General features: G+C 38.9%; 1 protein-coding gene across 3 annotated transcripts in view, besides 2 other annotated features; it reads left to right on the forward strand.

Moving 5' to 3' along the window:
* KCNN2 (potassium calcium-activated channel subfamily N member 2) overlaps nucleotides 1-26,446 on the forward strand; it is a 440,519-nt gene that overhangs the window by 200,631 nt on the left and 213,442 nt on the right. The gene's annotated exons all lie outside the window — the stretch shown is intronic.
* Nucleotides 21,484-21,985: an enhancer, noted in NCBI's record as "H3K4me1 hESC enhancer chr5:113613789-113614290 (GRCh37/hg19 assembly coordinates)". NCBI's record gives its function as "activates a minimal SCP1, AML or CMV promoter by ChIP-STARR-seq in naive H9 embryonic stem cells {active_cell/tissue: H9 hESC(naive)}" and the evidence as "EXISTENCE:reporter gene assay evidence [ECO:0000049][PMID:30033119]".
* Nucleotides 21,986-22,485: an enhancer, noted in NCBI's record as "H3K4me1 hESC enhancer chr5:113614291-113614790 (GRCh37/hg19 assembly coordinates)". NCBI's record gives its function as "activates a minimal SCP1, AML or CMV promoter by ChIP-STARR-seq in naive and primed H9 embryonic stem cells {active_cell/tissue: H9 hESC(naive and primed)}" and the evidence as "EXISTENCE:reporter gene assay evidence [ECO:0000049][PMID:30033119]".

Here is a 26,446-nt window from a genome sequence, read left to right on the forward strand (position 1 = left end):
TTTCTGTAAGGATTAGTGATGTTGGGCATTTTTTCATATGATTTTTTACCATTTGTATGTCTTCCTTGAAAAGTGTCTGTTCATATACTTTGCCCACTTATTAATGGGATTATTTGTTGGTTTTTCTTGTTGAGTTGTTTCAGTTCTTTGGAGATTCTGGATATTAGTCCTTTGTCAGATGCATATTTTCACCCATTCTGTAAGTCATTTGTGCACTCTGTTTATTATTTCTTTTGCTGTGCAGAAGCTTTAGTTTAATTAAGTCCCATTTGTCTATTTTTGGTTTTGTTGCATTTGCTTTAGAAGTCTTAATAATGAATTCTTTTCCTAGGACAATGTCCCAAAGAGATTTTCCTAAGTTTTCTTCTAGGACTTTAATAGTTTTAGGTCATACATTTAAATCTAATCCATCTTGAGTTAATTTCTGTATATGGTGAGATAGAGGTCCACTTTCATTCTTCTGCATATAACTATTTAATATTCCCAGCACCATTTATTCAGTAGGGTGTCCTTTCCCTAGTGTATATTTTTATCAACTTTGTCAAAGATCAGTTAGCTGTAGGTATATGGCTTTATTTCTGGGTTCCCTTTTCTACTCCATTGAGCTATGTGTCTACTTTTATACCAGGACCATGCTGTTTTGGTTACTACACCCTGTAGTATAATTTGAAGTCAGGTAATATGATACCTCCAGCTTTGTTCTTTTTCTTAGGATTGCTTTGGCTATTTGGGCTCTTTTTTGGTTTCATATGAATTTTAGGATTTTTTTTTTATTCTGTGAAAAATGAAGTTGGTATTTTGGTAGGAATCACGTTGAATTTTACATTGCTTTGGGCAGTATGGTCATTCTAAATATATTTATTATTCTAATTCATGAGCATGGGATGTTTTCCCATTTGTTTGTATTATCTATATGTCTTTCCTCAGTGTTTTGTAGTTTTCCTTGTAGAGATCTTTCACCTCATTGGATAAGTGTATTCCTTGATTTTTTATTTTGTAGCTATTGTAAATGGGATTGACTTCTTGATTTGGTTCTCAGCTTGATTGTTATAGGTATACAGAAATGGAACTCATTTTTGTACATTGATTTCATATCTTGAAACTTTACTGAATTCATTTATCAGATATAGAAGTTTTTTGGAGGAGTCTTGAGGGTTTTCTAGGTATAAGCTTATATCATCAGCAGAGATAATTTTACTTATTTTCCAATTTGGATGCCTTTTATTTCTTTCTGCTGCCTGATTGCTCTGGCTAGAACTTCTAGTACTCTGTTGAATAGGAGTGGTGAGTGTGGGATCCTTGCTTTATTCCAATTCTTATGGGGAATGCTTCCAGCTTTTCTCCATTCAGTATGATGTTGGTGGTGGGTTTGCATATATTGTTTTTATTATTTTGAATTATGTTTCTTTTATGCCTAGTTTGTTGAGGGTTTTTTAATCATGAAAAGAAGCTAAATTTTATCAAATGCTTTTTTTGCATCTATTGAGATGATTGTATGGTTTTTGTTTTTCATTCTGTTTATGTGATGAATCATATTTACTGATTTGCATATGTTGAACCATCTTCGCATCCCTGGAATAAAATTTAGTTGATCATGATGTATTAGCTTTTTGATGTGCTGTTCATTTAGGTTTGCTAGCATTTTGTTGAGGATTTGTGCAGCTATGTTCTTCAGTGATATTACTCTGTAGTTTTTTACTTTTTAGTGTGTTCTTACCTGGCTCTGGTATTAGGGTGACATTGGCTTCTAGAATGAGTTAGAAAGGATTCTATCCTCCTCAATTTGGGGGAACGATTTTGGTAGGAATGGTACCAGTTCTTCGTATGTCTGGGAGAATTTGGCTGTGAATCCAACTGGTTCTGGGCTTTTTTTTTCTTGGGAGATTTTTTATTACTGATTCAGTCTCACTACTCATTGTTGGTTTGCTCGAGATTTCTATTTCTTCCTGGTTCAATCTTGGGAGGTTGTATTTTTCCAGGAATTTATACATTTCTTCTAGGTTTTCTGGTTTGTGAGCATACAGATGCGCATACTATTGAACTCCATGGCCTGATCGGGCAGGAATGTGATCCATTTCCCTGTCATGCCCTCATCGTGGTGCTTGGGACACTCACATTGGTCAGACAATATCTCCAGGCTGCAGTGTAGCTGAGAGCTGTAAAAGACACAGTTGCCTCACTTTGTCAAAATTTCCCCTGTGCAGAACCTCCTCCCTCAGCCTAAAACACACAGCTTTTCAGCTTTTCTGCTCTCCACTGCAAGAACACTGATGCTCCATGTGGAGGATGGGGGTCTCACTTTTCATGACAGCCCAGCCTGGTGGGCACACCACCAGTGGGGCTGCAGCTGCCCCTTAAAGCGCTAGAAAAGCCATCCTCCAGCATACCTGTGCCAATTTCCTGTGGTAGCCACTATGGTTGTGTCTATAGCTGTCAGGGGCCCAGCACAGAAGCCACTTGGCTTCTGTGATAGAACTATATTCCTCCCTTGCAGAGCTGAGTACAGTGCCTTTGTCTCAGCTGGAAGAGATGCAGCCACTCAGAGCCCATAGGCAGGGAGTTTTCAGGCTAGGAAAGCACGTGTTCTGGTTTCCTTTCTCCCAACAGGAGCTCTCTTGGTATGCTGCACTCTCCCTTCCCTTAGGAACATCACTCCCCAAGAGCTGGACCACTCAGAACCCTCAGGTCCCCTGGGTCCAGCCAGCCCTGTACAGCTTCCATAGCCTGAGCAGGCACTGATGAATGTCTGCAGGGGATCTGGCGATTTGGAGACAAAAGGGCTGAGCAGGACAGAGGACTTTGATGGCTGTGCCTCAGTAGGGTGCCCTGCCACTGCCACTCGGGTCCAGGGGTTGGTGAGTGATCTGGCAGGAGTTGGTGATCTGGTGTACTGCCCTCAAGAAGTCCTCAAATCGACCAGTTAATGGGTGCAGCACACCAACATGGCACATGTATACATATGTAACTAACCTGCACGTTGTGCACATGTACCGTAAAACTTAAAGTATAATAATAATAAAAAAAAAAGTCCTCAAATCACAGCTTACACCAGTGTTTGGGTTCTGACAGTTCAGATACTGGTGGTCTGCTGTAGGGGTGAGGGGAGCCGAAACACTCCCACTCACCCTTCCAATGAAGTAACAAGTCCCTCTGGATTTCTAGCCCGTCTCTACCAGCCTCTTGTTTCCTTCTTTTGCTGTGCCCCAGCTTCTTCCCTGAGGTCTTCACTAGGTTCCAGCACTCACCCCTTGATAGGCTATTCAACTTATGATTATTCACTGTAACTTTCGTTCTTCTTTCTGAGGAGAATTGGCATCTGACATCTCTAGTCAGCCATCTTGAATCCCATGAAACTCAAGGTTTTAGAAGAAACAGAATACCTCAATGTCATCCTTGCTTCATCTTTTTCCCTCCCAGCCCTCGTCTGATTCATCAGTGAGTCTTTTCTGTTCTACCTCAAAAATTATCTTTACACCATCTCCACTTCTACCACCCTACTCCAAGATAACACTATCTTTTGTCTAAACTATGGAACAGCTCCTGACTGTCCTTTCTTCTGCTCTAGTTCCTCAATCATTCATTCTTTGTGCAGCAGCTGGAGTGATCTTTCTGAAAAGTAAATCAGACCATATCACTCCCCTCCTTATATTACCAACTTCACATCACACTTTGAATTAAATATCAGTGCCATTCCCTGGCCTATAAAGCAGTCTTTGCTTACCTCTGTGACCTCATCTTTAAATTGCTCTATACCTCAGCCTCATTGTATGTATCTCATTTCTTTTGTCTGGGATAGTTTTCCTCTAGACTTTTTCATATTTTTACTTCTTCTTATCAATCAGGTCCAAGTCAGTATCTACAGTTATTTGTTTGCGTGTATGTAAATTTACATGTGTAAACATATATTGTCTTTCCTCACTGTTGTGTAAAATCTTTTAGAGCAATGATCTCGAATATCTTGTCCCTGCTGTATCCCTGTACCTAGCACAGTGCAAATAGTGCATAAAACAATATGAATAAGTACTTTTTAGAATGAATGAATAAATAGAAGGGAAGAAAAGAACTCTGTTTTGGTTCCTTTAGCTCTCTTTTTCTGAGAACAATTTAGGGATATCCCTTTGTATTCCTTGTCTGGTTTACCTTTGTCTTAATAGTCTAAAGTCTTCCCATATAGCTAGGTGTCCATTGGGTGCAGGTGGCTTTCATTTGCATATGTAAAATGGGCAGTGCTCCCACCTTTCTGTGTTTAGAATGTTTGTCTGGAGTGAGGCAAGTCAAAAATCTGCTCTAAGCCTTACCAGGTGAGATTGGGGAGCAGAAGGAAGAGGAAAAAAGAAGATTGTTTGTCTTTAGGAACATGTGGCATAAGTCTACAACCACTGCAGTTCCCTGGACCATTTATTTTTCTGGTGTGGTTATATTATTTGTGATTTATTTTTAAACACTTCCATATAAACATGTGATAAATATATACTGTGTAAATTAATAGCACACTCTCAGGTGTTTTGTTAACATTTGAAGTGCCCACTCAAAGATCCACCCTCCAGAGATTTCTAGGAAAATGATTTCAATATCACTAATTAGCAGCAGAGAAGTAATTTTTCACTGGTGAAATCAGTAGTGTCAAGACATTCAGCTGGTTAGAAAGATTGCACAGTATGTCCTTTCATGATGAGTGCAAGGACTCTGAGTTTCTGTCCTTCCTTGAGCAACACATCCAGCAAACCCACAGCCCAACACAGCACCCCAGGTGAAGACCTCAGCTTTGCCCTATTCCTACCGCCTACTCACCCCTTAGTTCAGGCACTGGGCACAGGATTCAGTGAGAAGGAAGGCTGATTTTGCCATCAGAATATTTTTTACTGGCTTCCAAGTGAACCTTTCACACAAAGTGCTAATCAGGGTGTCCAAAAAGGCAGAGGGCCAGAACCTTACCACACTTAAGGGAACAGGATATATGTTTTTGAAACTTCCACCTAAGAAATGTTTGTACCTATGGGTAGAATTTTCTCTGAGAATTATTTTCCCTACAGTATACTATTAATCATGAGGTTGTGGGGTGAGCAGGCAGATAACTCCACCTATGTATTGCCAAAGGCTGTCTACATTTATGAAAGAATCTGCTCATTGTACTTGGAAAACTGACTTGGGTTAGTTCGCAGAAAGTTCTCAGCTCTCTCACATCATCCAGAGACTGGCAGGCTAAGGCTGGTCAGCTTTCAGTGAGGACCCACTGGGCAGGGCAGTTACCAATCAAGAGAGAGCCCAGGGAGAGCTGGGCACATGGTGATGATTGCCTTGGTTGGTCAATAATAAACTGAACAATCTGAAAACCTTGCTTGGGAAAACTAGGGGAGGCTAGTTCAAAACAAGCAAAGTGTGCTTTGTTATATATTGAAATCCTCAGGGTGGCATGGCCTTTATTAAGAGAAATCTGAGAGTAGGGCTTTAGTGATATATACCCCAAACCTAAAGAGACTCATGTGTCAATTTATATTTATTAGCATCAACAACTTGCTTGTGCCGATCTATATTTTCGAATTTGGCTTCGTTTCTATGTTTATCTCTAGTTTTCCTGAGTCAGCCTTTTCTCATTGCAGCAATTTAAAAAGTTATCTTTTCAAGAAAGCAGTCTTCTTCCATTAATGGCTTAACTTGTTTTTTTCATAGTGGATCCTGAAAAAGTACACCTTTCAGTAGTCTCAGACTCTGAAAAGAAAGAATTCTATCTACAGACCAGCAACTTAGCAAATTAATGTTTTGGTTCATTAAAGCAAATCGCAGTTAAAACACAAGAAGTTATATGACTTCTAAAGTTTATGTAAGCCTTACGAACCTTTTTCAAGAGAGTCAATTAAGCAGAGTAGTCATGAATGTGGGTTCCTGGGCCAGATTGCCTGGGAGTGAATCCTGGCTCTGGTTTTGGCTAACTGAATGATATTGGGAAATTCATTCAGCTGTGCGGCAATTGCCCTCCCTGTAAAAGTGCAATAGTAGCAGTAACTACTTCATAGAGTAATTTTAAATTAAATTCTTCATGGCATGAGAAGTGCTTAGAATAGCAGGTGAAACTTATGTTTTTAAAATTTTACTATTGCCAATGTTTTCATGGTCATTCTTAATCATACCTTCAGTAGATAGGATGCTTGTTGAGATGGACAGCGTGCCTGGATTCTCCCTGCAACTTAACTATCAACCAGCTGTATGACCTGGAAAAAAAATGACTTGACCTTCCTGGGCTTCAGTCCTCTTATTTATCAAAAGAGGGATTGGCCTAGATAATATCTAAATGTCCCAATAATACTAAAATGCGATGATCCTATTATATCATTCGCCAATTGTGAGTTTAGAGAAAATACTTTAAAAGGGAATATCAAAAAGACCTAATAAAAATAAATGAAAAGGAGAGATTGTGTTTAAATTTCTCTTGACTTGGAATCAGGACAACTGGATCGAGGCCTGGCTGCTTACTATCCTTCTTAACCCACCCCACCTTTCACTCTTGTTTTTCTTTTTGGCTCAGTATGGCTCTTGGTGAGCATGTTGGCAGAAAGCTGAAAAAGGAAAAAAAAAGCTTTGATTGAAAACAAGCAGTTTACAGATGGGTTGGATGTGTGCATGGGGTAGGGGTGCATGTAGTCACCATCTCGTCTCAAGAAACCTGAGAGACATTCCATGTTGAGAGAAGTCACATGAAGTGAAGCCAGTGGTCACATCTAAAAGGAGACCAACTCCTGCACGTTATAAGATTTGAACTCAGAAAGTTGTTATTTATATTCTTGTTTATTTCAAAATATGCAACACGTGCTAGATAAGCAGGTAGACTTATCCAGTGAATGCTGGATAAGCAGGTAGACTTATCACTTATCCAGTGAATGCTGAAGAGCTCTCTCTCCTTGCCACCCTATGGATCGGATTGCCCCCTTCAGCCTGAGTTCTTCCCTTCACCCGTTTTGAATCTGGCTCTTGCTCAGTGGGCAGTATGATCTAAAAGTAAGCCTCTCTGTCTCCCAACAAGGTAACTCTATTTCTGTTTGTAAAAAAATTTTTTATAAAATATAGAAAATTTGGTCTTCAGTCTTTATCATATATGGAAAACCTTCCCTTTTCTGAAGAGTGATTCCATTAGCTAAAATATTAAGTGATCGAATACTAAAACAACCAACTTGACTAACACCTTTTAGACTATTCACTCACCCCTGCCTCTCATAAGGGAGTTTGAAAATTTAGGGAGTTCCCCTTCAGCAAAGAGGCTATTGTCCAAATAGTGCATCATATGCACAGCTCCATGCAGGATGCTTATTAAGACACCCTTATTCATCCTGAGCTGACCCAAATGCAAGCAAGGCTCTCTGAGCTTCTTTCTCAAGGGCATAGTGAGAACATTCCCTACCACCCAGCTGTGTAGTGCAGTTTAATGAGGAAATGGATGTGAACCTGACTTTTAGACTAGAAAACATACTTCCAATTAGGTGATTATTTTAAGCTTCTAGCTAAAGATGGCTTAATGATCAATTCTGTCTTGTAGTTGGAAACATGAACTGTTTCCAACTCCCAAGAGCTTCCAGTTTTTCCATCCTTTCCATCATTTCTATGACTCTGTATGCATGTTCTTCATACATGAGATGTGATCATTAACAAAATTCATTCTGGTACCCTTTCTGTATATGAATTATAATCTACACTTTTATTATCATCCTTTCATGTTCCATAATTCCAGTATTTCCTAGCTTTCCTTCCATGGCATTCTGCTTGTACAAGTGGAAAAATCAGGTAAATTACAGAAATCAACTAGTCTCTTTATATAAAACAGAAAGTCATGAAATATAAATTAAAAATATACAATGCTTTTGTCATAAAACTACAAAGTATTCAATAACAGCAAGACAGAAAACAGGGAGGTTGCTTCTTCCCTATTGAGAGCACAGAGGAAGCCCCTCTCATGGTGTTGAGTTGTCTGTCTCCATCATGGTCACAGCCCTCTTGCTAAAACCAGAAAGATGCCTCTAGGTGGTGATTTTAAAACATTAAAGATTTTAAGAGTTGCCAACTGCAAAGAGTTGGCATTCTAAGCAAACTGTAAAGAATCCTGTAGGCCTGGAATTGAGACCTGAGCTAACTTGTTGCTGGTAGTCTCACCATGCTTGAATCCTCACGAATGCCCCCCCAGGGCAGCATGCCACCAGAGGCCCCCATCTTCTGCTTTGCTCCGTAGGTTATATGACCTTGCCTTCCAGTCCCAGGAAGCCTGCTGTCCTCCTGATGACAAAAGGTTCAAGTGCCCTCAGGGATATAAGCATAGAAGGTAAATTTTACCTATTGCCTGAAAACCTAACTCAGCATATGAGTCCTTTTTGTGTCTACCATTTAATTTTTTTGTTATGTTATATGAAAAACAAAACAGGACAAAGTGACTTTTAAATAGAGATTGCAGAGGGCTTGATTGGGATAAAGCACTTTCTGAGGCATCATCTCCTTTAACTCTTACACATCTTGGTGAGGAGGTAGTATTTTTACAATGAGCAAATTGAGATTCAGGGTAAGTAACTTTTCTATATCCCCAAACTAGCCAATCATTTGTAGATATATTCAGAAAACTGACCTCTTCTTCACTAACTCTAAAAATTGTCATATGTAGAAAATCCTGTTATAAAATTAACCAATTTTATACATGTTGTATTAGGGTTCTCCAGGGAAACAGAACCATCAAGAGGAGGTGTGTGTGTGTGTGTGTGTGTGTGTGTGTGTGTGTGTGTGCATAAAGAGATTTATTATGAGAAATTGACTCATGTGATTATGGAGCTTGAGAAGTCCCAAAAGCTGCAGTCAGCAAGCTGGAGGCCCAGGAAAACTGATAGTGTAAGTTCCTATCTGAAAGGTGACAGATTCAAGACCCAGGAAGAGCCAGTGTTTCAGTCAGAATCAAAAAGCCAAGAAAGACCAGTGTCCTAGCTCAACAGTCAGGCAGGAGGAGTTCCCTCTTACTCAGCCTTTGTATTCTTTGGTCTTTGATTGTTGGATGAGGCCCACCCACATAAGGAAAGTTAATCTACTTTGCTCCATCCGTGGCTTCAAATGCTAATCTTATCCCAAGTCACCCGCACAGACACAACCAGAATAATGTTTGGCTGAATGTCTGGGCACCCCATGACCCAGTCATATTGACATGTAAAATTAACCATCACATGTGTTATATAGTTCTTAGGCAGGGAACACTGGTGTTTGTTGACTACTCACCCTGTGCTCTTTGCCAGGCACTGGAAAAGATTTAATCAAAGCAAACATTATTGTATTTGCTTTGGAGAGATTGGAGAAGACAGGGCTGATCTCACCATCAATAGCCTCTAGAGTATCACTGTCCATTAGAGATAGAGGGCAGTTTACATACACAAGCCACATGCATAATGTTAGTAGCCACATTTAAAAATGTATTTTTAATACATTTTTAATAAATTCTATTTTTATTTTTTAATAAATTTTAAGTTTATTTAACCTAGTATGCCAAAATAGCATTACAACATGTAACCAACATGAAAATTATTAATGAGATACTTTACATTCTATTTTGTTTTTACCAAGTCTTTGATCAGTGTGTATTTTTTAGCTACAACACATTTCAGTTCAGTCCAGCCACATTTCAGGTGCTCAGCAGCCTCTGACTAATGCCTGCTGTAGTGGACAGGGAAGCCACAAGTGTCTGTTGTAGAATGCTCTATCTTATGTATCTTATTCTGGTGTGGGTTTTAGACCCAAGTTACTGAGGGTTTGGGAGAAAGAGCAACTGTTTGGAGGATTTGATATAACACCAGGAAAGTCTGAGTGGTATTAGACTTTGTCAGGACAAGCTGCTTGGGAAAATCAGACCTAGATGCTGGGTAGTTACTCTCCATCTAGAGATTGCCAGGACTGCATTGTTAGAAGGTTATCTGTTACCTCTGGACCAGAATAGGCTGGTTCTTGGGCAGCCCTGCTCCTAGCTACTACTTCCTGCTCTGCATTACTCACTGCCACTTCTCTCCCAAGCCACAGTTACTGTTCCCTGCTACAAGAAATCCTGGGACTGGGAGTGGGGAGGCTGGTCTACAAAAGATTGAGCCAAAGCACACTTTATAGAAGTTTCTTCGTTGCACACCATTTGAGGGGAACATACTCTAGCATCACAAGGTTTAGCTAATGTCCCCATCAAAAGTACATAATATTATGTATTCTGCTCACAGTTCCCACCAGCATCTCCTTGTAAAGTTTTGCAGTTTTTCCTAAGATGTCTTATATATGCCCACACTGTATTCATAAGATGATGTGAGAAGTCCATTTTCTAACAACCCTCTCTTAGTCCCATCTGGATTACTGATATTAAGATGCTTCACGAACACCCCTTCCCTCCTTTTTTTTTTTTTTTTTTTTTTGAGACGAAGTCTCCCTCTCTCTCCAGGCTAGAGTGCAGTGGCACAATCTCAGCTCACTGCAACCTCCGCCTCCCAGGTTCAAGCGATTCTCCTGCCTCAGCCTCCTGAGTAGCTGGGACTAAAGGCGTATGCCACAATGCCCAGCTAATTTTTGTGTTTGTAGTGAGACGGGGTTTCACCATATTGGCCAGGATGGTCTCGATCTCTTGACCTCGTGATCCACCCACCCCTCGGCCTCCCAAAGTGTTGGGATTACAGGCGTGAGCCACTGCGCCCGGCCCCACCTCTTTCTTAATGAAGCTTTCCTAGGCAGGCTTTTTCGTGTGAGCATCTCTGGATCTATTTGCTACCCACCCCATTCTTCATTGCCTGGGAGTCTCCTTATGCTCACAGAACTGCCCTTTACGCCTTGCTGGGGGAACTTTTGAGTATCAGTTTGAGGGTGGGCAATATCACTGATATTCTATATCAAGGGAAAAATAATTTCAACTCTCAGGAGGCCAGAGCCAGAGAACAGTAGTGGTTGACCCCTGAATTTGGAGATAAAATATATTTAGAATCCAGTCTTTATTGTTCTATAGTGGCATTTCCCTTGGAACAGAATTTTGCTTAATGAAGCAGAGAACAAGTTCTGTTTTATTTTTGAGTCCCCTTTGTCCTATTAAATAAAAAGTATTTTATTTTCCCAGAGGAAAATATAATAATCCCTGAATGGTGATTAAAGGGTTTTTCCCTGGAAGAGGAAAAATAATTTCATACCCTGCTAATATTTACAATATAGTCAGACTTAATTAAGTTATCTAAATTGCAGTTAATTCAGGCATTTGTTTCTAGATGCAGAAGCTTTGAGTCAGACTACTAGTTAAATTATTTCCTCTGGATGAGGGAAACCAGTGTTTCTCTCTCTCCCCTCAGATGCTTTTATGGCCATTGTTCCTTTCTGGGAGAATGTTATGTCCTTTGCAGGGAGCTCCCTCCCTGGCCGTGCCAAAACACCTTAAATGCCACTTCCTTCTGATCCCACCCTAGCACTTCCCACTTGATGCTTCCTAAATCGCGTCATTTGCTGCCCAAATTGCACACAGGGCACACTTGTGTGCACACTCACCAAAGCTCATGCATTCTGGTAAACCATCTAAGCCAAATTAGAGGACAACACAAAGAACTGATGAATAGAGAAAGGTGTCCAGTCCAATGCACCAACTCATTTATCATACATCAGCTTCCCTTTCTATTTACATTTTCCTGATCTCAGTCATCAGCCTTTAATACTAATACACAATTTTATGATTATTATCCTTTCAACACAAAAGTTCTAGAATTGGGCTCAAGTTCGCCATTTCCATGATTATCAAATGTTTTATATAAAATTTAAAAAACACAGCTTGCAAAGCTGCAAAGCTAATTATAATCGTGTCTCTCATGTTCTGCCTCACTAGACTTTTATTTCTGCAGTTTGCACTTTCATGGCTAATATGAAGCCTTTTTTGTGCAAATACCAACTGACTCCTTTTACTTTTCCATAGGAGGGGTCAGGGCTTTTGCAGATGATGCCTGAACCAAAAAGAGCAGAGAAAGAAGGTCATGATCAGAGGTGCCTCCTGGGGAGATGGAGACTTAGAAGGCAAGAACCACTCTCTAGAATCTAGACTGAAGTTCTGACACAGGTCTCCGGGTCATTTCTCTGCCCAGATAGAGCCATTTGATCTAGTTCTTATGAGATGCACCTTGGTGATGGTGCTGCCAAGTGAGACAATACTGGTTTATTTTATTTCATTTTCACTATCTTAGAGCTCAAGGTGAGAACTTCTAACTCACAAATGTAATTGAGTACCACAAAAAGAGCTATTTTGGTTGTCAGGCAGCAGGAACAAAACAAGAGAGACAAGTCACTATGCCTCAGGTCTCCCAGCCATCTGTCTCGGGGGTGGGGGGGTTCTCTGAGGATCCTGAGAGAATGGAAGGTGCACGGGTCCCTCCAATTGATAAGGCTTTCTTTCAAATCATGAGCTCATCCATAAGCCTTGAAAAAGTCCTTCTCCAAGCTATCATTACATGATACCACTTCACACACAGGGCGCCCTGTCCTTCTTAGGAGTGTTCTCTCTCTTCTTGCATTTAGAAAAGTCAAGTTTTTCTAAGCAGTTAGATGCTGTATTCTATAAGTGTACCAACTAGGTTTCAAATACACAGTTTCCTACTCATTGATTATTATTATTTTGAATTGTCTTTGACTGTTGGACCTAAAGCTAAGGCCTGCACATAACCACATAAGCTACCCTAAAGGCACTTGGCTTGATATAAGTTTCACTTAACTTTCCTAGTCCCCTTTCCTAACTTCCAAACTGATTCTTTGTTAGCAGCCTGATGCATGGCCTTTCCTGAAATGAACATAGGTAAAGGGGTTTCTCTAAAGTTCTTAGCTCAAACTCTACTTCCTATCTGATTAAGTCACAGGTTTTCTCCCAGTGGTTCTCACCTTTTTTTTTTTTTTTGGTGCTGGGTTGGGGGAATATCATAGACCGACTCTAGAACTGCTGAACACTGTAGACCTTCCTTTCAGATAATTGCACATGCAAACAAACTCCAACTAGTTGCAGATTATTTTAATACCCCGTAATGTTCATTCAGGAGCCCCAGGTTCATCTATGAACTCCAGAGGTAGGATCCGGTTGACTGTAAGAATGTCTTTCCTTTCAATAAAAATGAAAATCTGCTCACCAGATGCTGAAATAGAGACAAAGTTCATATTGCAAACTAATTTGATTGTTTCAGGTCTTATTTTAATACAGTGAAAATAGTAGTTCTAAATATTTGATCAGTTTGGATTCAGTATCCAGAGGAATGTCTGCATATTAATTTAATCAAGGAAAGGAAAAGAATGAAATGGAGGGTCACCACTAGACCGTTTCAGAATAGCATTTGCAAACGTTATTGTCCTGATTAGTGTGTTTTCCCCTTTCTGGGTAATTATAAGCTGTTCATAAGAACATGCTGATCTCCTAGCATTTAAATGGCACTTCCTTGGTCTGATACTTGGAGAGTTTCTGCTGTTTTGACAAGCATCTGCTCCAGGCAGTTTAATCCTGCTGCCTACTTTTCATTTCTATTGAGACAGAAAGAATTTTATAGTAATTGTTGGTTATTTGAAGGGCTATAATAAATAATCATATGAGCTCTTATTCAAATTGTGAGGCGCTTTTACTCTCTAATAAGTTCAGGCAAATTAGCCAGTAAAGAACAGTTTGCTTTAGATAAATAATATATTGAAAATACGGGTAACAATCCTGACATTTATATCAAATTTCAGTCTTTAGGACAAGAATGCGCTAACATACTATAAAAGCTGATTTATCTAGCATCTTTTTAGAATTTTCTCTACATAGTAATACTTTTGAAACCACTAATACTGAAGATTGTGATATATATGGAGCTGAAATGCAAGAATATGGTAATATACTATAAAAGCTGAATTATCTGGCATCTTTTGGGATTCTCTGTGCATGTCAATACTCTTGAAACCACTACTACTAAAAATGTTGATATATTAACATATGAAGCTGAAACACAATGGGAATCATTAAGGACTAAATTATTATCTCAAACTGTTTATTTTCCTGTTTCATATTTTACTCCCATTATGGGCAAGTTGGTGATTTATGCTTGATAGACCTGAGAAATCTGTCACTCAGAACTCTTTGTAACAGTATTACTATGTCCGGAATTGGTTCCTTCTGGTGGGTTCTTGGTCTTGCTGACTTCAAGAATGAAGCCACGGACCCTCGTGGTGAGTGTTACAGTTCTTAAGGATGGTGTGTCCGCAGTTTGTTCTTTCAGATGTTCAGATGTGTCCACAGTTTCTTCCTTCGGGTGGGTTCGTGGTCTCACTGACTTCAGGAGTGAAGCTGCAGACCTTTGTGGTGAGTGTTACAGCTCATAAAGGTAGTGCGGACCCTTTATGAGTGAGCAGCCCATAAAGAGTGAGCAGCAGCAAGATTTATTGTGAAGAGTGAAAGAACAAAGCTTCCACAGCGTGGAAGGTGACCCGAGTGGGTTGCTGCTGCTGGCTCAGGTGGCCAGCTTTTATTCCCTTATTTGGCCCTGCCCATATCCTGCTGATTGGTCCGTTTTACAGAGTGCTGATTGGTCTGCTTTTACAGAGTGCTGATTCGTGCGTTTACAAACCTTTAGCTAGACACAGAGCACTGATTGGTGCATTTACAGTCCTTTACCTAGTCAGAAAAGTTCTCCAGGTCCCCACCCGATTAGCTAGACACAGAGTGCTGATTGGTGCATTTTTACAGAGTGCTGATTGGTGTGTTTACAAACTTTTAGCTAGATACAGTGCTGACTTGTGCATTTACAATCATTTAGCTAGACAGAAAAGTTCTCCAAGTTCCCACCCGACCCAGAAGCCGGCCAGCTTCACCTCTCATTACTACTAAATAAATAGTGTAAAAACTTGAAAAACACAGAAAAGCACAAAGAAGAAAGTAAAAAATACAATACTATCCTCAAGGTGTATAAATAATGAGAGTGATTTCACTCCACAGGGAAGTTTAACCTGTAATAGGATAGCAGGAAATTTAAGTTTTCAGTCATCTGTCATGTTTGTTTATGCTTTCTTCTTTTCATTTCAACAGGTTCTTCCTTTTACTCACTATATTCTTCCTCCCCCTACTCTGTATGGACTACTTTTGTAGTGTTTATATGGTATATAACATTTTTTAAAATTTTATAGTCAGTCCAACATAGTGGTTAGAAGCTTGGGCTTCTGAATCTGGCTGTGTCAATTCCAAACCATTTTCATTCTGTGTGAAATTGGACAGGTTGCATTTCCTCTTTGTCTCAACTTTATCACCTATAAAATATGGATGGTTATCATACTAAGGTCCTAGGGAGGAACTATTGTGCTAATGAGGAGTACATGAATTAATACCTGTAAAGCTCTTAGTGCAGTATCTGGCATTTAATAAAGATTAGCTGTTATATCAGCTATTACTGGGAATTTTGGTTGTGCTTTTGAATAAAAATAATTTTCTTTTTTTCTGATCATAAGTTTTATAATGCTTATGATAAACAACACTATAGAAAGTGGAAAAACACAATACCTTCCCTCAAAGAGTAGCATCCTCTCATTCTCTATCTGCCACCAATGGTTTAGTGTTAAGAGTTTTGCTATAGCTGCAACTACATATACACTTATCTATGTGTGTATATATGTGTGTACATATCATATACACACATATATGTATGTACATATCACACACACATATATGTATGTACATATCACACACACACATATATGTATGTACATATACACACATATATGTATGTACATACCATATACACACACATATGTATGTACATATATACACACATATATGTATGTACATATCTACACACATATGTACGTACATATCATATACACACATATGTATGTACATATCATACACACATATGTATGTACATATCATATACACATACATATGTATGTACACACACAAACTCACACAATTTGTATAGGTAATTTTGAAAGGGCTAATACTAAATGCTCTATAAACTCCAGCTTTTTTCATTTGATAAATTCTAGAGACCTTTTGTTGTCAATAAGTAAATATTTACTTCATAAAACTTTGTAGATTTTTTCTCTATGGCTTATTCATATATATTTTTAATTGTATTGCTGATATAAAGGAAAGCTGTTAATGTTGGCTTTTTTGCCTTATACCCAGTTCCCTTACTGAATATTCCAACTAGTTTTTAAAGTTGTATTTAGTTTATTATTTAGATTTTCTAGTTAGGCATCATATCAACTGCAAAAACTTGTCTCATTCTTTCCAACATTTATAGTTGTCATTTGTTCTTTTTTTTAAATTATACTTTAAGTTCTGTGTTACATGTACAGAATGTGCAGTTTCGTTACATAGGTATACACGTGCCATGAGTGTTTGCTGCACCCAAAAACCTGTCACCTACATTAGGCATTTCTCCTCATGATATCTCTCCCCTAGCCCAACACCCCCCACAGGCCCTGGTATGTGATGTTCCCCTCCCTGTGTCCATGTATTCTCATTGTTCAACTCCCACTTATGAGTGAGAACACATGGTGTTTGGTTTTCTGATCTTGTGATAGTTTGCTGAGACACATGATTTCCAGCTTCATCCATGTCCCTGCAAAGGACGTGAACTCATCCTTTTTTATGGCTGCATAGTATTCCATGGTATATATGTGCCACATTTCCTTAATCCAGTCTATCATTGATGGACATTTGGGTTGGTTCCAAGTCTTTGCTATCGTGACTAATGCTGCAATAAACATACGTGTGCATGTGTCTTTATTGTAGAATCTTTGGGTATATGCCCAGTAATGGGATTACTGGGTCAAATGGTAATTCTAGTTCTAAATCCTTGAGGAATTGCTGCACTCTCTACCACAATGGTTGAACTAATTTACACTCCTACCACGTTCCTATTTTTCCATATCCTCTCCAGCATCTATTGTTTCCTGACTTTTTAATGATTGCCATTCTAACTGGCATGAGATGGTACCTCACTGAGGTTTTGATGTGCATTTCTCTAATGACCAGTGATGATGAGCATTTTTTCATGTCTGTTGGCTGCACAGATGTTTTCTTTTGAGAAGTGTCTGTTCATATCCTTTGCCCATTTTTGGATGGGGTTGTTTTTTTCTTGTAAATTTGTTTTAGTTCTTTGTAGATTCTGGATATTAGTCCTTTGTCAGATGGATAGATTGCAAAAATTTTCTCCCATTCTGTAGGTTGCCTGTTCACTCTGGTGATAGTTTATTTTGCTGTGCAGAAGCTCTTTAGATTAATTAGATCCCATTTGTCAATTTTGGCTTTTGTTGCCATTGCTTTTGGTGTTTTAGACATGAAGTCTTTGCCCATGCCTATGTCCTGAATGGTATTGCCCAGGTTTTCTTCCAGGATTTTAGAACTTATGTTTAAGTCTTTAATCCATCTTGAGTTAATTTTTGTATAAGGTGTAAGGAAGGGGTCCAGTTTCAGTTTTCTGCATATGGCTAGCCAGTTTTCTCAACACCATTTATTAAATAGGGAATCATTCCCCCATTGCTTGTGTGTGTTAGGTTTGTCAAAGATCAGATGGTGGTAGATGTGTGCTATTATTTTGAAGGCCTGCGTTCTGTTCCATTGGTCTATATATCTGTTTTGGTACCAGTACCATGCTGTTTTGGTTACTGTAGCCTTGTATAGTTTGAAGTCAGGTAGCATGATGCCTCCAGCTTTGTTCTTCTTGCCCAGGATTGTGTTGGCTATGTGGACTCTTTCTGGCTTCATATGAAGTTTAAAGTAGTTTTTTCCAATTTTGTGAGTAAAGTCAGTGGTAGCTTGATGGGGATAGCATTGAATCTATAAATTACTTTGGGCAGTAAGGCCATTTTCATGATATTGATTTTTCCTATCCATGAGCATGGAATGTTTTTCGATTTGTTTGTGTCCTCCTTTATTTTGTTGGGCAGTGGTTTGTAGTTCTCTTTGAAGAGGTCCTTCACATCCCTTTAAGTTGTATTCCTAGGTATTTTATTCTCTTCGTAGCAATTGTGAATGGGAGTTCACTCCTGATTTGGCTCTCTGTTTGTCTGTTATTGGTATATAGGAGTGCTTGTGATTTTTGCACATTGATTTTGTATCCTGAGACTTTGCTGACTTTGCGTATCAGATTAAGGAGATTTTGGGATGAGACGATGGAGTTTTCTAAATATACTATCATGTCATCTGCAAACAGAGACAATTTGACTTCCTCTCTTCCTATTTGAATACCCTTTATTGCTTTCTCTTGCCTGATTGCCCTGGCCAGAACTTCCAACACTATGTTGAATAGGAGTGGTGAGAGAGGGCATCCTTGTCATATGCCGGTTTTCAAAGGGAATGCTTCCAGTTTTTGCCAATTCAGTGATATTGGCTGTTGGTTTGTCATAAATAGCTCTTATTATTTTGAGATGTGTTCCACTGATACCTAGTTTATTGTGAGTTTTTAGCATGAAAGGCTGTTGAATTTTGTCAAAGGCCTTATCTCCATCTATTGAGATAATTATGTGGTTTTTGTCATTCGATCTGTTTATGTGATGGATTACATTTATTAATTTGCATATGTTGAACCAGCCTTGCATCCCAGGGATGAAGCTGACTTGATCGTGGTGGATAAGCTTTTTGATGTGCTGCTGGATCCAGTTTGCCCGTATTTTATTGAGGATTTTTACGTCGATGTTCATCAGGGATATTGGCCTAAAATTCTCTTTTTTTGTTGTGTCTCTGCCAGGCTTTGGTGTCAGGATGATGCTAGCCTCATGAAATGAATTAGGGAGGATTCCCTCTTTTTCTATTGATTGGAATAGTTTCAGAAGGAATGGTGTCCATTCCTCTTTGTACCTCTGGTAGAATTCGGCTGTGAATCTGTCTGGTCCTGGACTCTTTTTGGTTGGTAGGCTATTAATTATTGCCTCAATTTCAGAACCTGTTATTTGTCTATTCAGAGATTCAACTTCTTCCTGGTTTAGTCTTGGGGGGTGTATGTGTCCAGGAATTTATCCATTTCTTCCAGATTTTCTAGTTTATTTGCGTAGAGGTACTTATAGTATTCTCTGATGGTAGTTTGTATTTTTGTGGGATCGGTGGTGATATCCCCTTTATTATTTTTTATTGCATTTATTTGAGTCTTCTCTTTTTCTTCTTTATTAGTCTTCCTAGCGATCTATTTTGTTGATCTTTTCAAAAAACCAGCTCCTGGATTCATTGATTTTTTGAAGGGTTTTTTGTGTCTCTATCTCTTTCAGTTCTGCTCTGATCTCATTCTTTTCCTGTCTTCTGCTAGCTTTTGAATTTGTTTGCTCTTGCTTCTCTAGGTCTTTTAATTGTGAGGTTAGGGTGTCGATTTTTGATCTCTCCTGCTTTCTCTTGTGGGCATTTAGTGCTATAAATTTTCCTCTACATAATGCTTTAAATGTGTCCCAGAGATTCTGGTACATTGTGTCTTTGTTCTCATTGGTTTCAAAGAACATCTTTATTTCTGCCTTCATTTCGTTATGTATCCAGTAGTCACTCAGGAGCAGGTTGTTCAGTTTCCATGTAGTTGTGCAGTTTTGAGTGAGTTTCTTAATTCTGAGTTCTAGTTTGATTGCACAGTGGTCTGAGAGACAGTTTATTGTGATTTCTGTTCTTTTACATTTGCTGAGGTGTGTTTTACTTCCAAATATGTGGTCAATTTTAGAATAAGTGCGATGTGGTGCTGAGAAGAATGTATATTCTGTTGATTTGGGGTGGAGAGTTCTGTATATGTCTATTAGGTCTGCTTGGTCCAGAGCTGAGTTCAAGTATTGGATATCCTTGTTAAGTTTCTGTCCCATTGGTGTGTCTAATATTGACAGTGGGGTGTTAAAGTCTCCCATTATTATTGTTTGGGAGTCTGGGTCTCTTTTTAGGTCTCTAAGAATTTGCTTTATGAATCTGGGTGCTCCTGTATTGGGTGCATATATATTTAGGATAGTTAGCTCTTTTTGTTGAATTGATCCCTTTACCATTATGTAATGACCCTCTTTGTCTCTTTCGATCTTTGTTGGTTTAAAGTCTGTTTTATCAGAGACCAGTATTGCAACCCCTGCATTTTTTTTTTTTTTGCTTTCCATTTGCTTGGTAGATCTTCCTCCATCCCTTTATTTTGAGCCTATGTGTGTCTTGCACATGAGATGGGTCTCCTGAATACAGCACACTGATGGGTCTTGACTCTTTATCCAATTTGCTTGTCAGTGTCTTTTGATTGGGACATTTAGTCCATTTACATTTAAGTTTAATATTGTTATATGTGAATTTGATCCTGTCATTATGGTGCTAGCTGGTTATTTCACCGATTAATTGATGCAAACAGTTTCTTCATAGTGTCGATGGTCTTTACAGTTTGGCATGTTTTTGCAGTGGCTACCGGTTGTTCCTTTCCATGTTTAGTGCTTCCTTCAGGAGCTCTTGTAGGGCAGGCCTGGTGGTGACAAAATCTCTCAGCATTTTCTTGTCTGTAAGGGATTTTATATCTTCTTCACTTATGAAGCTTATTTTGGCTGGATATGAAATTCTGGGTTGAAAATTCTTTTCTATGAGATTGTTGAATATTTGCCCCCAATCTCTTCTGGCTTGTAGGGTTTCTGCAGAGAGATCAGCTGTTAGTCTGATGGGCTTTCCTTTGTGGGTAACCCAGCCTTTCTCTCTGACTGCCCTTAACATTTTTTCCTTCATTTCAACCTTGGTGAATCTGACAATTATGTGTCTTGGGGTTTCTCTTCTTGAGAATTATCTTTGTGGTGTTCTCTGTGTTTCCTGAATTTGGATGTTGGCCTGCCTTGCTAGGTTGGGGAAGTTCTCTTGGATAATATCCTGAAGAGCGTTTTCTAAGTTGGGTCCATTCTCCCCGTCACTTTTAGGTACACCAATCAAACATAGATTTGGTCTTTTCACATAGTCCCATATTTCCTGGAGGCTTTGTTATTTGTTTTCACTGTGTTGTCTCTAATCTTGTCTTCTTGCTTTATTTCATTAATTTGATTTTCAATCACTGATATCCTTTCTTTTGCTTGATCAAATCAGCTACTGAAGCTTGTGCATGCTTCACAAAGTTCTCGTACTGTGGTTTTCAGCTCCATCAGGTAATTTAAGGTCTTCTCTACACTGTTTATTCTAGTTAGCCATTTGTCTAACCTTTTTTCAAGGTTTTTAGCTGCCTTGTGATGGGTTAGAACATGCTCCTTTAGCTTGGAGAAGTTTGTTATTACCGACCTTCTGAAGTCCAATTCTGTCAACATGTCAAACTCATTCTCCATCCAGTTTTGTTCCCTTGCTGTCGAGGAGTCGTTTTCCTTTGGAGGAGAAAAGGCATTCTGGTTTTTGGAATTTTCAGCCTTTTTGCTCTGGTTTCTTCCCATCTTTGTAGTTTTATCTACCTTTGGTCTTTGGTGTTGGTGACCTATGGATGGGCTTTTGGTGTGGATGTCCTTTTTGTTGATGTTGATGATATTACTTTCTGTTTGTTAGGTTTCTGTTTGTTAGGACAGACTGTCCCCTCAGCTGCATGTCTGTTGGAGTTTGCTGCAGGTCCACTCCAGACCCTGTTTTCCTGGGTATCACCAGTGGAGGCTGCAGAACAGCAAATATTGCTGCCTGATCCTTCCTCTAGAAGCTTCATCCCAGAGGGACACCTGCCTGTATGAGGTATCTGTTGGCCCCTACTGGTAGGTGTCTCCCAGTCAGGCTACATGGGGGTCAGGGACCCACTTGAGGAAGCAGTCTGTCCATTATCAGAGCTCGAATGCCATGCTGGGAGAACCACTGCTCTCTTCAGAGCTGACAGGCAGGGACATTTAAGTCTGGAGAAGCTGTCTGCTGTCTTTTGTTCAGATATGCCCTGCCGCCAGAGGTTGAAAATAGAGAGGCAATACGCCTTGCTGAGCTGCAGTGGGCTCCGCCCAGTTCAAGCTTCCCTGCTGCTTTGTTTACATTGTGAACATAGAACCACCTACTTAAGCCTCAGCAATGGCAGACGCCCCTTCCCCACCTTGCTCCAGCATCCCAGGTCCATCTCAGACTTCTGCACTAGCAGTGAGCAAGGCTCTGTGGGCATGGGACCTGCCAAGCCAGGCACAGGAGGGAATCTCCTGGTCTGCCGGTTGCGAAGACCATGGGGAAAGTGCAGTATTTGGGCAGGAGTGTACCGCTCCTCCAGGTACAGTCACTCACAGCTTCCTTTGACTAGGAAAGGGAAATCCTCTGATCCCTTGTGCTTCCCGGGTGAGGCAATGCCCCGCCCTACTTCAGCTCACCCTCTGTGGGCTACACCCACTGTCCAACCAGACTCAATGAGATGAACCAGGTAACTCAGTTGGAAATGCAGAAATCACCGATCTTCTGCATCAATCTCCCTGGGAGCTGCAGATCGGAGCTGTTCCTGTTTGGCCTTCTTGGAAGCAACCCCCTAGTTCTCATTTTTTTTTGTTTTATTGCATTGGCCCAAACTTTCATTATAATGTGGAATAATTATAAATTATTAATTTTATAATTAGTTTATAATTTTCTTAGTGACTGTAATAATAATGCCCTTGCCATTTGTTTGCTAATACCTTAGAGTCATCCTTTCTTCTCTTTCTCTTTATAATTCACATTCAGTCTATCAGCAAACCCAATTAGAAATACCTTCAAAATATATGCTGGCTCCAGTTACTTTGCAATGTCTTTATCACTACTCCTTAATCAAGTCACTGTAATTTCTTTTTTTTTTATTATACTTTAAGTTTTAGGGTACATGTGCACAGTGTGCAGGTTTGTTACATATGTATACATGTGCATTTTGGTGTGTTGCATCTGTTAACTCGTGATTTACATTAGGTATATCTCCTAATGCTATCCCTCCCTGCTCCCCCCACCCCACAACAGGCCCCAGTGTGTGGTGTTCCCCACCGTGTTTCCAAGTGTTCTTATTGTTCAGTTCCCACCTATGAGTGAGAACATGTGGTGTTTGGTTTTCTGTCCTTGCGATAGTTTGCTCAGAATGATGGTTTCTAGCTTCATCCATGTCCCTGCAAAGGACATGAACTCATCCTTTTTATGGCTGCATAGTATTGCATCGTATATATGTGCCACATTTTCTTAATCCAGTCTATCATTGATGGACATGTGGGTTGGTTCCAAGTCTTTGCTATTGTGAATAGTGCCGCAATAAACATATGTGTGCGTGTGTCTTTATAGCAGCATGATTTATAATCCTTTGGGTATATACCCAGTAATGGGATGGCTGGGCCAAATGGTATTTCTAGTTCTAGATCCTCGAGGAATTGCCATACTGTCTTCCACAATAGTTGAACTAGTTTACAGTCCCACCAACAGTGTAAAAGTGTTCCTATTTCTCCACATCCTCTCCAGCACCTGTTGTTTCCTGACTTTTTAATGATCACCATTCTAACTGGTGTAAGATGGTATCTCACTGTGGTTTTGATTTGCATTTCTCTGATGGCCAGTGATGATGAGCATTTTTTCATGTGTCTTTTGGCTGCATAAATGTCTTCTTTTGAGAAGTGTCTGTTCATATCCTTTGCCCACTTTTTGATGGGGGTGTTTGAATTATTCTTGTAAATTTGTTTGAGTTCATTGTAGATTCTGGATATTAGCCCTTTGTCAGATGGGTAGATTGTAAAAATTTTCTCCTATTCTGTAGGTTGCCTGTTCACTCTGATAGTAGTTCCTTTTGCTGTGCAGAAGCTCTTTAGCTTAATTAGACCCCATTTGTCAATTTTGGCTTTTGTTGCCATTGCATTTGGTGTTTTAGTCAAGAAGTCCTTGCCCATGCCTATGGCCTGAATGGTATTGCCTAGGTTTTCTTCTAGGATTTTTATGGTTTTAGGTCTAATATTTAAGTCTTTAATCCATCTTGAATTAATTTTTGTATAAGGTGTAAGGAAGGGATCCAGTTTCAGCTTTCTACATATGGCTAGCCAGTTTTCCCATCACCATTAATTAAATAGGTAATTCTTTCCCCATTTCTTGTTTTTGTCTGGTTTGTCAAAGATCAGATAGTTGTAGATGTGTGGTATCATTTCTGAGGGCTCTATTCTGTTCCATTAAGTCACCGTAATTTCTTACCTGACACTGCAGTAGCCTGGTAATGGTCTATCTACATTTACCCTTTCTTCTATACAATCTGTTGCCCCTAAACACTCAGAGTGACCCTTTTAAATGTTAAGTCAGATCTTATTAATTCCATGGTTCAAGCTTTCCAGGGGGTTATAATCACTTTTAAAATAAAATCTAAATTCTGTGAGGTTCTGTATGATCTGACTCTCCAGCCTTGTTTCCTAAAACTCTTGCCTGTCCTTGTTCTGTTCTCATTCTTGCCAACCTGACCTTTTTCTTTTTCCTTGAGCACACTAACCCTTCTTTTGCCGTTATATTTGATATTTTCCTCTTTAGAGAATACCCTACACCCCATATAGTCCTATGCCTCCTTCCTTATTTCATTCAGGTCAGTGCTCAAATACCTCCTTAGAGAAGTATTTTCTGACCACTTGTGTACCTCATCCATTGCTCTTTGTCCTTCTACTCAGGTTTTGCCTTCCTAACAAGGAAATATGCTTAACATTATATTGTATAATGCATTTATTTGTTTGCTGTGTGTTTCTGCCATTAAAATGTGAGCTCTTTGAGTGTTTGTTTGTATTTTGCAGGTTTCTTTATCCCTGATGAATATGTCAGCATCTAAAACATGGGATATTCAATATATACTATTTTTAGGATGAATAAATAAATGGCTATAGTACTTGCCAAATGTCCCTCATGGAAAGTTACACTTAAATTGGCATTTTAAAGACTGAGAAATCTGGCAATTATATTAAATTTTGTTGAAGGCCTTTGTGTTTCACATGATTATTTGAGTGTGGCAAACTTTTTTCCAAGACATTTATATTAAGACCTTGTAGAATCTTGTTATGGTTCTGTTTAACTGTTGAACCTAGGCTTGGTAGGAACTGCTTCCATTTTCTCCTTTCTCTCTTGTCAATCTCTGTCTCTCTCTCTCTCTCTCCCCGCCCCTCCATCTCTGTGTGTGTGTGTGTGTGTGTGTTTATGTGTGCATTTGTGTGTATGATATCCTAGTCAGATTTTGCAGCAAAGGTACTTCTAGCTTTAAGATTAAATAATTTTTAAGCATATACTATGACCTGAAGCAGGTAAAATTTTAAAATAAGATAATAAATTATGTCCTTGAAGGCTTGAGTCAAATTTAAAGTAACTGGATCTGGTGTCTATGGTCAAGGTTGTAATTCTGATAATTTTCTGTGTTTTTTTTCTAGGGTCTATTAATATTTCATATTTCTTTGTAAATACTTAAATTTAAATATTTTTCTGGAAAGTCACCCATTACTTTGGATTATCTAGTTAGGGTGCTATAGTTTTTATATAATTTTCATTCTCATTTTAAAACACTTGTATGTAAATGCTTTTGTGATGCCATTCTCATGACTAATATTTATGTATTTGTGTCTTCTTGTATATATCCATATTTTGGCCCTTTGGCAGACTTACCAGAGTTTTAGTACTGTATCAGTCTCTATCACTAGGTTTCATTTTTTATTTATTAATTCAACTATTTATTTCTTTTGGGGATAGATTTGTTTCTAATTTCTTTCTTTCTCGTTTCACATAATCTAATCATTCCTTTGTATGGGGAATTCATTTTTACTTTGGTTGAATTATAGCAAAAAACAAAGGAATCTAGGCATCTATGTTTTAGAATGTATTGAAATTTCCATGTGATGGAACATGACCTATTTTGTAAATATTGATTTTATAGATGTTGCAGAGAACTTAAAGATCACATTTTATTTCTATTTATAATCAAGCTAGACATTATGAATGTCTTTTTAAGTTTTTGCTATTACTTTAAATTAGTAATACAATCATATTTATTGTCTTTTATTTATAACAATTTTTTACTTATATATTTTTATGCAATGTGAACTAAAATGTAAAGATTTATGGCTGTTGCATCAACTTCGTGAGATTTATGTGCATCTGTGATCATGATTGAGGCTGGCCTACATTTGTGTCCTTTTTATACTGCTTTTGTTGGTTTTTGGTAACAAGGTTATGTTGGTATCATAAAATAAGGAAAGATCAGAGAGAGCTCTGTCTTCTTTTTCCTGTTCTCTAGAAGGCTTTGTGTAACATTGGATTTTTAAAAATATCTTTGATAGAACCTTCTGGAGAAGCTGTATGAAGTCATAGTTTTCTTTGTGGGAAAGGTTTTATTGCATTCAATTAATGAATTCAATTCCATTTCTAACTGTACTTTCTTAAATAAATGTTTATACTTGCTCTGGCTTCCAAAATCACTGTCAAGGTATCAGTTATAGTCTGTGCTACTCCTATGAATTTAATCTGCTCCTCTGCTGCATTTAAGATTTTGTTATTGTCTTTTCTTTTCTGCAGCTCCACTATCATGTGAATTTGTTTTTATTCATTCTGCAA

Source organism: Homo sapiens, chromosome 5 (genome assembly GCF_000001405.40).
Source record: "Homo sapiens chromosome 5, GRCh38.p14 Primary Assembly".
In the NCBI taxonomy this organism is placed as follows: domain Eukaryota; kingdom Metazoa; phylum Chordata; class Mammalia; order Primates; family Hominidae; genus Homo; species Homo sapiens.